At 44.9% G+C, this 12,447-nt stretch overlaps 1 protein-coding gene and 1 long non-coding RNA gene across 16 annotated transcripts in view; one reads left to right on the top strand and one right to left on the bottom strand.

The window, feature by feature from the left end:
- The window catches only part of DLGAP4-AS1 (DLGAP4 antisense RNA 1), a 65,574-nt gene extending 56,433 nt beyond the window's left edge, over positions 1-9,141 (top strand). Inside the window, exons 3-5 of the long non-coding RNA NR_109939.1 lie at positions 5,811-5,963; positions 8,018-8,031; positions 8,569-9,141. This is a non-coding gene — a long non-coding RNA (DLGAP4 antisense RNA 1). The remainder of the gene's footprint in view (positions 1-5,810; positions 5,964-8,017; positions 8,032-8,568) is intronic.
- DLGAP4 (DLG associated protein 4) overlaps positions 1-12,447 on the bottom strand; it is a 222,295-nt gene that overhangs the window by 11,791 nt on the left and 198,057 nt on the right. The window lies entirely within an intron of this gene.

Genomic DNA, 12,447 nt, shown 5'->3' with positions numbered 1-12,447 from the left:
TTGGGACTACAGGCATAAGCCACTACGCCCAGCCATACACAGAACTTTTGATTTTTTTTCCTTCATATCTAACAGCAACTTTATTCAGAGGAAATGAAACACAGCAAGCCTTTAGGCATAGTGTGAATTTCCCAGGACAAAGTACTGTCAATTTTTTTTTTTTTTTTTTTTTTTCCTGAGACGGAGTCTAGCTCTGTTGCCCAGACTGGAATGCAATGGCGCAATCTGGGCTCACTGCAACCTCTGCCTCCCGGGTTCAAGTGATTCTCCGGTCTCAGCCTTCCAAGTAGCTGGGATTACAGGTGCACGCCACCACGCCCCGCTAACTTTTTGTATTTTAGTAAAGATGGAGTTTCACCATGTTGCCCAGGCTGGTCTCGAACTCCTGAGTTCAGGCAATCCACCCACCTCGGCTCCCAAAGTGCTGGGATTACAGGCATGAGCCACCGTGCCCAGCCAGTACTGTCACATTAAAACTCTGAGGCATGGCATGCGAAGTACTAGAATCCTACAACAAGTTATACTAGGATCAGGATTAGAATAAGGATTCTGTTGTTAGCATTATGCCAACTCTCTATAATGTGCACACTGTCTACTAAGCACAGCATAGGCTTCTGAAAACAAGTGATCTGTGTGGACCTTTTATTTTTAACTGGGCACATAGCCTGGAATCAAGCATTTCCTAGACTCCCCTGCAGCAAGATATGCATAGTTGTATGTCTAAATTCTGGCCAAAGCAGTGGAAGCAGAAGCAGTGCGTGGGCCAGCTGTTCTCCTTTGCTGTTGGTTCCTTTGCTGGCTGGAATGCACTTAGGATGCTGGGATCCAGCAGCACTCTGACAGTTGAGAAGATCTTATCAATGAAAGCCAATTAATGGCATCAAACTGCAAGGAAACAAAAAAGCCTGTGGCTCCACCATCACTATCTGAGACATTCTTGAGAATGAAATAAACAGTCTTGTTTAAATCACTTTTTAGAAATGTTTTAGTGTTATTTGTAGGCAAATGTAATCCCAATTAATATAGCCTCAAAACTAGTAGGGTTTGTAAAAGGAGTGAGGAGAGGAGTTAATCCAAAAGAAGGGAAGAAAGAGGAAAAAAGGCACCTCAGAAAAGGAGGCTGGGCTCAGTGGCTCACGCCTGTAATTCCAACACTTTGGGAGGCCCAGGTAGGAGGACTGCTTAAGGCTAGAAGTTTGAGACCAGCCTGGGCAACATAGTGAGAGACCATCTCTATTTAAATAAATAAATTAAAATACATTTAAAAAGCACAAATCCCCCAAAATAACATGGTAAGAATGAACCTAAATATATAGAAGTCACCTCGTAAAAATGGACTACACTACCTATTTCTAAAATAAAAATCAGGAAACTGGATAAAACATAAAATCCAGGTATATGCTGATTACAAGAGACATGATTAATAAGGACAGTGAAAGGTAAAAAGTAAATGGATGGAAAGAGATATACCAGACAAACACTAATCAAAGGAAGTCTGCTACTGTAATAGTCATAATACATATAACTCTTAGGCAAACACAAACAGAGATTCTGAAAAACAGAATGGATCAGTGAACATCTGCCAGGAATATTACAATTCTAAACTTGATCCATCCAATATCTTCAAAATATATAAAACAAAAGTTTTTTAAGGAGAAATGGACAAACCATTTTATAGAAAGTGGTGTGATACAGACATGCAATGAATGGAAAACAGTAAACTCAAGCTCATCTTTTGGATGGACGCATCCCTCCCACATTCCAGTTCTGCCTTCACACCTAATCTCAGTGGTCCTTGGAGTGACTGGTGGGCCTCCTCTCTCCTGGATGCCAGTTTCAAATCTGCTCTCCAGAGACGTCCTACGCGTCCTCTCCACCTCCTTACCCTGAGGTGATGACTCTGCTCCCATCTGCCTCACCTCACCTCTCCTCAGACATGGCCTTTCTCCTGTCACTGTGGAGAAGCTATCTGTTCTCTACTTGGGCACTAATTCGATTCCTTCTCACCTAAGGATAACCCCAACAGTTGCCTGTTTTCTCTCCAGCATAATAAGCTCCCTTTCTCTAACAAGGTCATTCTCAGCAACATATAAACATGCTTATATTGCTCCATTAAAAAAACAAAACAAGGACAGGCGCGGTGGCTCATGCCTGTAATCCTAACACTGTGGGAGGCTGAGATGGGGGGATTGTTTAAACCCAGGAGTTTGAGACCAGCCTAGGCAACAAAGCGAGATTGCATCTCTATAAAAAAGAAATTTTTAATTAGGCAGGTGTGGTGGTGCACCCCTGTGTTCCCAGCTACTTGGGAGGCTGGGGTGGGAGGATCAGTGGAGCCCAGGAGTTCAAGGCTGCATTGAGCTGAGATCACACCACTGCACTTCAGCCTGGGTGACAAAGTGAGACCCTATCTCAAAACAACAGCAACAACAACGAAACAGCTGTCTCCTTTGACCCTACATCCCTCCATTTCTCTGCTTCCTTGTACAGGAAAATCCATGCATGTGGTCTCCAATTACTCTCCTGTTTTCTCTTCTCTTAATCCTCCTCCTCTCAGGCTACCTTACCCATGCTTCTGCCATCACAATTCCACCAAAATGGCCCTTTATGTATCTAATGACCTCTGCCTTTCTAGATCTGGCTTGGTGAGCCCTTCAGCTGCCTTTGACACTGGATTCTCCCTTGAGAACGTTGTTCAGGTGGCTTCCAATTGCTCTTCCTTTGATCTTGCTGTTTATTCCTCCCTTTCCACCGCTAAGTGTTCATGTCTCTGGGATCAGTCTTTAGACAGCTTGTCTTCTCTACTTATTAGGCATTCTCATCTTATTCATCTTAATCTATACTCTGGTGACTCCCAGATAGAATCTTCAAACTGGACCTATCCCCAGACTCATATATCCAACTGCCTGCTTGACTTCTCTATTCTGATGTCTAACAAAGCATATCAAATTTAACATGTTCCAAACCAAACTCCTGACTTTCCCCCAGATCGACATTTCCTATAGTTTTCCCCATTTCAGTGGCAATGCCATCCTCTTCTTCACTCAGACTCCAAGCCATGTTTGGCTCCCTTACTCTTACCCATATCTAATCTGTCGAGAAATCCTGTTCTATCTTCAAGATATATCCACAGTCTGATTCCTCCATTAAAGTCTCTCTTACACAGATTGTTAAATCCTCCTAACTCATCTCCCAGCTTCCATTTGTGTGCCAATGGAAGGTACACAGAGGTTCTCATTTGGATAGAGAAGCCAGATTAATTCTTTTTTTTTTTTTTTTTTTTTTTTTGAGACGGAGTCTCGCTCTGTCGCCCAGGCCGGATTGCGGACTGCAGTGGCGCAATCTCGGCTCACTGCAAGCTCCGCTTCCCGGGTTCACGCCATTCTCCTGCCTCAGCCTCCCGAGTAGCTGGGACTACAGGCGCCCGCCACCGCGCCCGGCTAATTTTTTGTATTTTTAGTAGAGACGGGGTTTCACCTTGTTAGCCAGGATGGTCTCGATCTCCTGACCTCATGATCCACCCGCCTCGGCCTCCCAAAGTGCTGGGATTACAGGCGTGAGCCACCGCGCCCGGCCCAGATTAATTCTTTAAAAAAGTATGTCAAGTTGCAGCACTCAGAACTGATGAGCTCTTCTTGGAGTAAAACCAAGCCTTTAATAATGGCCTCTGATGGGCAGATGACTTGAGTTCAGGAGTTCAAGACCAGCCTGGGCAACTTGGTAAAACTCCCAGCCAGGTGCGGCGGGCCTGTGGTCCGAGCTACTTGGGAGGCTGAGGTGGGAGGATTGCTTGAGCCTGGCAGGTGGAGGTTACAGTCAGCCAAAATTGCGCCGCTGCACTCCAGCCTGGGTGAAAGAGTGAGACCCCATCTCAAAAAAAAAAAAAAAAAAAAAAAAAAAAAAAAAAAAAAGGGCCTCTGAGACCCCTGTGATCTGAGATGCCCCCAGTCTGACTTCATCTCCCATCCCTCTCCTCTGGCTCATGGCTGCAGCCCACTGGTGGCTTCCCTCAGCCTTGCGCATGTCAAGCACTTGCCCATCAGTCAGGTGCTGCTCCCTCTGCCTGAAAAGTTCTTCTCCCCAGATCTCTACAGACTTCCTCTCTCCCTCTCTTCAGGTTTCTGCTCACAGGTCACCTGGCCAGGGATGCCCTCCCTGACCACCCTGAATGCAACAGCAACACCGACCCTGCCTGTGCAGTGGACACTATACTGCTCTTACCCTTCCTGGTTATTTGTTACTGCTCACCTGGTTACTGCTTACCACATTTGGTTATTTGGTATCCCTTCCCATGAGGGGAGGGATTTTGTTTTGTTCACTGCGACATCCCCAGAAGCTACAACAGTACCTGGCATAAGGTAGGTACTCAATAAATATTCACTGAGTGAATGACGGTCAGGACAAGGTAGAGATATGGACCTATTATTCCACACTGTCCTGAAGCACCTTGCCATACAGTTGGACAAGATATCAATAAGATCAGAGAGACAAGGGGCCAGGCATGGTGGCTCACGCCTGTAATCCCAGCACTTTGGGAGGCTGCGGTGGGCGGATCACGAGGTCAGGAGATCAAGACCATCCTGGCTAACACGGTGAAACTCCATCTCTATTAAAATTACAAAAAATTAGCTGGGCGAGGTGGTGGGCACCTGTAGTCCCAGCTACTTGGGAGGCTGAGGCAGGAGAATGGCATGAATCCGGGAGGTGGAGCTTGCAGTGAGCCGAGATCACGCCACTGCACTCTAGCCTGGGCAACAGAGCAAGACTCTCTCTCAAAAAAAAAAAAAAAAAAAAATCAGAGAGACAAAATTGGCATTCTTAGCAAACAATATAATCATTTATGATGCAAATCCAAGAGAACCATGTTGGATTCTCTTGGTTGCCGGACACAAGATCAACATACAAGGATTAAACATTTCTACCTACTAGCTGTGACTAATTAGACTATGCATTTTTTTTTTTTTTTTTGAGACAGGGTCTCCCTCTGTCGCCCAGGCTGGAGCGCGGTGGCATGATCTCGGCTCACCGCAACCTCCACCTCCCGGGTTCAAGTGATTCTCCTGCCTCAGCCTCAGAAGTAGCCGAGATTACAGGTGCCCACGATGACACCCAGCTGATTTTTGTATTTTTAGTAGAGATGGGGTTTCACCATGTTGGCCAGGCTGGTCTCGAGCTCCTGACCTCAAATGATCTGCCTACCTCGGCCTTCCAAAGTGCTGGGATTATAGGAGTGAGCCACTGCACCCGGCCGCAAATATTTTTTAAATGATCAATTTCACAAAACTCAACAAAAACTACTAGAAAGTACTAAGGAATAAATCTAATAAAAATATGCAGGAGGCCAGGTGCAGTGGCTCATGGGTGTAATCCCAGCACTTTGGGAGGCTAAAGCAGGAGGACTGCTTGAGCCCAGGAGTTCAAGACCAGCCTGGACAACATAGTGAGACCCCATCTCTACAAAAAAATCTCAAAGTTAGCTGAGCATGGTGGTACACACCTGTAGCCTCAGCTACTTGGAAAGCTGAGGCAGGAGGATCACCTGAGCCCAGGAGGCTGAGGCTGTAATGAGCCAAGATCATGCCATTGTGCTCCAGCCTCAGTGACAGAGTGAGACCTTTTCTCAAAAAATTAAATTAAATGAAAATTAAAATATGAAAGACCTTCATAGAGAAATTACTCAAACTTGGATAGAAGGATATAATAGGATTCTTGAATAAATGGAGTGATAAAGTTGACTTATAGTTGAGAAGATTCAATATTTTAGTTATCAGTTCTTCCCCAATTAATCTATAAGCTTACTCTACTTCCAGTTTTCATCCCAACAGAATTTTTCTGAGGAACTTGATATACAAATTCTATAATTTATATTGGAAGAATGAAGATACAAGAATAGTTTTTCTTTCTGCACAAAAAGGATAAAGAAGGAGCACTCACCAGATACCAAGGCGTGCTACAAAGCCATGGTAATTGAAAGTTATATTAATACAGCTGGGCACGGTGGCTCACTCCTGTAATCCCAGCACTTTGGGAGGCCGAGGTGGGTGGATCACTTGAGGTCAGGAATTCCAAACCAGCCTGGCCAACATGGTGAAACCCCATCTCTACTAGAAATACAAAAATTAGCCAGGTGTCAGCTGGGCGCAGTGGCTCACACCTGTAATCCTAGGACTTTGGGAGGCCGAGGCAGGCGGATCACTTGAGGTCAGGAATTCCAAACCAGCCTGGCCAACACGGTGAAACCCCATCTCTAGTAGAAATACAAAAATTAGCCAGGAGTCAGCCAGGCTCAGTGGCTCTCACCTGTAATCCCAGCACTTTGGGAGGCCGAGGCAGGTGGGTCAGCTGAGGTCAGGAGTTTGAGACCAGCTTGGCCAACATGGCGAAACCTCATTTCTACTAAAAATACAAAAAATTAGCCAGGTGTGGTTGCATGCACCTGTAGTCCCAGCTACTCAGGAGGCTGAGGCAGGAGAATCGCTTGAACCCGGGAAGCAGAGGTTGCAGTGAGCTGAGATCATGCCACTGCACTTCAGATGGGGTGCCAGAGTGAGACTCGCCAAAAAAATAAAATTAAATAACAAATAAATGAAAATAGTTGTATTAACATAGAAGCAGCCAAAAGAGGAACAGAACAGAGCCCAGAAACATACCCCTGCGTAAGTATGGAATCTGCATCACTAAACACTGAAGAAAGAAAGAGACTTCAGGCCAGGCGCGGTGGCTCATGCCTGTAATCCCAGCACTTTGGGAGGCTGAGGCAGGCGGATCACTTGAGGTCAGGAGTTCGAGACCAGCCTGACCAACACTAAAAATACAAAATTAGTGGGGCGTGGTGGCGCATGCCTGTAATCCCAGCTGCTCAGGAGGCTGGGACAAGAGAATCGCTTGAACCCGGGAGGCAGAGGTTGCAGTGATCTGAGATCACGCTATTGCACTCCAGCCTGGGCAACAAGAGCAAAACTCTGTCTCAAAAAAAAAAAAAGACAAGCAATAATGTGGCAGAAAATATTCGTCATATTATAATAGGCACAGTGTAACTATCCATATATATAAAGAACTACAAATTGATTTTTAAAGTACTTTTTGTTTTTTTGAGACAGGGTCTCACTCTGTTGTCCAGGCTGCAGTGCAGTGGCACAATCATACCTCACTATAGCCTTACTCTCCCACACTCGAGCAATCCTCTCACCTTAGTCTCCTGAGTAACTGGGACTACAGGTGTACACCACAATGCTCAGCTAATTTATTATTATTATTATTTATTTATTTTTTGAGATGGAGTCTAGCTCTGTCACCCAGGCTGGAGTACAGTGGTGTGATCTCGGCTCAGTGCAACCTCTGCCTCCTGGGTTCAAGCGATTCTCCTGCCTCAGCCTCCCGAGTAGCTGGGATTACAGGCGCCTGCCACCACGCCCGGCTAATTTTTGTATTTTCAGTAGAGACGGGGTTTCACTGTGTTGGCCAGGCTGGTCTCAAACTCCTGATCTCAGGTGATCCTCCCGCCTCGGCCTCCCAAAGTGCTGGGATTATAAGCATGAGCCACTGCGCCTGGCCAATTGTTTATTTTTAAATTTTCATTTGTAGTAGACATGAGGTCTCACTACGTTGTCCAGGCTAGTTTTGAACTCCTGAACTCAAGCAATCTTCCCACGTCAGCCTCCCAAAGTGCTGGGATTAAAGGCATGAGCCACCATGCCCAGACAATTTGAAAAATACTGAGAATCCAATAGAAGAATGAATAGAGTATACAAGTAATTCACAGAAGTTTAAATGGCCAATATAAATAAAATTAAAATATGCACAGCTTCTCTAGTAACCAAGTAAATGTGAAATAAATCAACTGGTTTTAATTTTTCACTTACCAAGTAAGTGATTTAAAGTCCAACAAGATCAAGTATCAGTAAGTATACTAGGGAAATGGCAACTTTCAAACACTTGGTGTAAGGATAAACTGATATAACCTCTTTGGAGAGCAATCAGACAGCATTTATTAAAATATGTGTTTCCTCCCATCCAGTGATTCTGTCCAAGGTAAGTACTCCAGAGAAGTTCTCCCACCTCATGGCAGAGAGACATGCACCAGAGTGTTGATGAAACGCTGAAAACACCAAAATGGCCCCAGTGCAGTGGCTCACGCCTATAATCCCAGCACTTTGGGAGGCCAAGGCAGGCGGATCACCTGAGGTCGGGAGTTCAAGACCAGCCTGACCAATATGGAGAAACCTCATCTCTACTAAAAATACAAAAAATTAGCTGGGCGTGGTGGCACATGCCTGTAATCCCAGCTACTTGGGAGGCTGAGGCAGGAGAATTGCTTGAACCCGGGAGGTGGAGGTTGCGGTGAGCCGAGATCGCGCCATTGCACTCCAGACTAGGTAACGAGAGAAACTCCATCTCAAAAAAAAAAAAAAAAAAAAAAAGAACCCTGAAACATCAGTAGGAAAATGGTCAAAGGGAATGTAGTATATGTGTATGAATTTAACAGAAATGAACTAGATCTCTATGTATCAAAGTAGACAGAGTGTTCAAGACATAGCGTTCAATATAAAATTGTTCTTTTTACTGCAGCTTAACAGTGGATGTAACTGCTTCTTTGCTGTGGCAGATTGTATTTTCTGAAGGCCCCAACAGTCTCTCCTGTCCCTCCTCCTCTTCTGAAACCTTGATACTTCCCTATGAAGAGGTAGGGTCTAATACTTCCCTCCTTCAACCTGAAGCCCCGCCTTGGGCTTGTGACTTGCTTGTAACCAGTCAAATACAGTGGAAGAGTTACTACGTGACTTCCAGGGCTAGGTCAGAAAAGGATGCAGCCTCAGGGTTCAACACACACTTGGGCCTGGAGCCACCATGCAAGAAGGCTGCCATGCTGCGAGGGAGCAAAGGCACGTGGAGGGACATACACAGGGGCTGTGGCTGGCAGTCCTGGCCTTTGAGTCATCCTTGTTTAAGTGCCAGGCACACACGTTAACTACCTTTAGGTAATTCCATACCTCAGGTGTCATGTCACCCCAAGCCCTTGAGCCTTCCCATCTGAAGCCCCAGGCTGTATGGAGAAGAAACAAGATGTTCCTGCCACGCTCTTTCTGAACTGCTGACATACAGAATCTGTGACCATAATAAAATGGTTGTTTTGTGCCATTAGGTTTGGCGTGACTTGTTATGCCCTTCCTGCTTCTGTGTCTTTGCTCCCTCCATCTGGAATGCCTTTCCTCTCCCCCAGCCTGTAGATATTCTCTGAGGCCCAGCTACGAATGGTATCTCCTTGGTGGAGTTCCTCACAGATTTAAGAGGGGTGACCTTAAAACTTGTGGCCACGGCTGGGTGTGGTGGCTCACACCTGTAATCCCAGCATTTTGGGAGGGCGAGGTGGGCAGATCACTTGAGGTCAGGAGTTCAAGACCAGCCTGGCCAACATGGTGAAACCCTGTCTCTACTAAAAATACAAAAATTAGCTGGACGTGGTGGCATGTGCCTGTAATCCCAGCTACTCAGGAGGCTGAGGCACGAGAATCACTTGCACCCAGGAGGCGGAGGTTGTGGTGAGCCGAAATTGTACCACTGCACTCCAGCCTGGGCAACAGAGTGCGACTCTGTCTCACAAAAACAAAACAAAACAAAACAAAAAAAAAACAACTTTTGTGCCCACAAGTCAGGGCCTTGAGTGGATGTACAGAATTTAATCAGAGAGCCTTGCAATTTCAATGAAGAGTATCATTCTTAAGAGACAGGAAACATTATTCACAACGGCCAAAAGGTAGATGCAATCCACCTATCCATTGGCAAATGAATAGATACATAAAATGTAGTCTCTACATACAATAGAATATTACTCAGCCTTAACAAGGGAGGGAATTGTGACACATGCTATGGATGAACCTTGAAGACATTATGCAAAGTGAAATACGCCAGTCACAGAAGAACAAATGCTGCATGGTTCCACTTACATGAAGTAGCTAGAATAGTCAAACTCATAGAGACAAAGTAGAGTGGTGGCTGCCAGTGGCTGGGGGTAGGAGGGAATGGGGAGTTAGTGTTTAATGGGTACAGAATTTCAGCTGGGGAAGACAAAACAAGTTCTAGAGATGGACGGTGGTGATGGTTATACAACAGTGTGAATTTAATGCCACAGACTGTAAACTTGGTTGAAATGGTAATTTTCATGTTATATATATTTAACCACAATTCAGAAAAATAAATTATCTGAAAAGAACATTGTCAAGTTTAAAGTTCTTCAGGTTTAGACAAGAGGGCAATGCAAAATTCAGTCAATACAGGCAGCCACCTGGGTGGGTGGGCACTGCTGAGTTCCCTGACCTATGTATTTTGGATAAGGGACATGAGCTATGTGACTCCATCTGTCTGTAAGTTACAGTAACTGATACAGGGCTATGAAAAGGGCCCCCTCTAGAGTTCATGTTCAACTGCAGGAGTTCTGGTGTGGTTATCCAGAAACATCATAAAAGACCTCTTCCCTCCCAGGTAGACAGGAAGGTAATACCAATATCGTTTGGTATGACATAATTTCCTTTGCAGGTAAACATCTTCTTGCTCTAGAAATAACTAGAATTAAGTATAGTAAAGGAAAGTTAAAGGGAATCAAATCCACAGAATCACCCTATTGGCATGAAGCAATCTGTGCACCCTGCCCCAGGCTTACTGTCTCAATCTGTGCTCAATACAGCAGCTACTAGCCACATGTCGTTAGTAAGCACCTGAAATGTTGCTTGTCTGAATTAAGATGTGCTGTAAGAGTAAAATATACACTAAGTTTTAAAGACTTACTATGAAAAGGAATATAAGATATTGCAATAGTTTTATATTGAATATATGGTGAAATACAGCTGACCCTTGAACAACACAGGTTTGCACTGCAAAGATCTACTTATGTATCAATTTTCTTCCCATCTGCCACCCCTGAGACAGCAGGACCAACATTCCTCCTCTTCCCCATTCCTCTTCCTCAGTGTACTCAATGTGGAGACAAGGAGGAAGACCTTTATGACGATCCACTTCTGCTTAATGAACAGTAAGTATATTTTCTCTTCCTTATGATTTTTTCCTTTTGAGACAGGGTCTCACTCTGTCACCCAGGCTGGAGTGCAGTGGCCCAATCTTGGCTCACTGCAGCCTCGACCTCCTGGGCTCAAGTGATCCTCCCCGCTTGTCAGCCTCCCGAATAGCTGGAATGACAGGCACATGCCATCATGCCTGGCTAATTTTTATATTTTCGATAGAGATGGGGGTCTCGCTATGTTGACCAGGCTGGTCTTGAACTCCTGGGCTCAAGAGATCCTCTCGCCTTGGCCTCGAAAAGTGCTGGGATTACAGGCATGAGCCACCACACCCAGCCTAAAACCACTATTCTAAGAAGGGGTCCATAGAAAGCCTACTTAAAACAAGCCCTACCCACACAAAACTGCCAGTCAGCTTCTCAGTGCCTCAACTGTTTATCTTAAATTTTTATTAATATATGCTCATAATTTAAAAAAATAAGTGGAGACACAAGCAACAAAAGGAAAAAATGGACTTCATCAAAACTAAGAACCTTTGTGCGTCAGCCAGGCGTGGTGGCTCATGCTTGTAATCCCAGCACTTTGGGAGGCCAAGGCAGGCAGATCATGAGGTCAGGAGTTCGAGACTACCCTGGCTAGCATGGTGAAACCCCGTCTCTACTAAAAATACAAAAAATTAGCCAGGCATGGTGGCACGCACATGTAATTCCAGCTACTCAGGAGGCTGAGGCAGGAGAATTGCCTGAACCCAGCAGGCGGAGGTTGCAGTGAGCCAAGATCACGTCACGGCACTCCAGTCTGGGCAACAGAGCGAGACTCCGTCTCAAAAAAAAAAAAAAAGAACCTGTGTGCATCAAAAGTCACCAGGAAGAAAGTGAAAAGACAGTCTCCAGAATGGGAGAAAGTATCTGCAAATCATATATATGATGAGGGTCTAGCACCCATAATATATAAAGGACTTACAACTCAGTAACAAAAAGACAAACCACCCAATTAAAAAATGGGCGAAGGCCTTAGCCATTTCTTCCAAGAAGACATAAAAATGACCAACAGACACATGAAAAGATGCTCAATATCATAAGGGAAATACAAATCAAAATGACAATGAGATATTACTTCATCTACTTCATGGCCGTTAGGATGGCTAGAATTTTTTTAAAAGACAGAAGATAACAGGTGTTGGTGAAGATGTGGAGAAACTGGAACCTTCGTGCTTTGCTGGTAGGAATGTAAAATGGTATAGCTTCTATGGAAAGCAGTTCAGCCATTCCTCAAAAAGTTAAACATAGCGTTACCAGATAACTTAGCAATTTCACTCCCCAAAGAATTAAAAACAGGTACTCAAACACGCCAGTCTTCATAGCTGCATTACTCACAATAGCCAAAAGGTGGAAACAACCCAAGTGCCCAGCAACAGATGAACAAAATGTGGTAT

This window comes from Homo sapiens, chromosome 20, assembly GCF_000001405.40.
Source record: "Homo sapiens chromosome 20, GRCh38.p14 Primary Assembly".
Lineage (NCBI taxonomy): Eukaryota > Metazoa > Chordata > Mammalia > Primates > Hominidae > Homo > Homo sapiens.
Note: the sequence above shows the minus strand (reverse complement) of the source record. Positions and strands in the feature narration are given on the sequence as shown.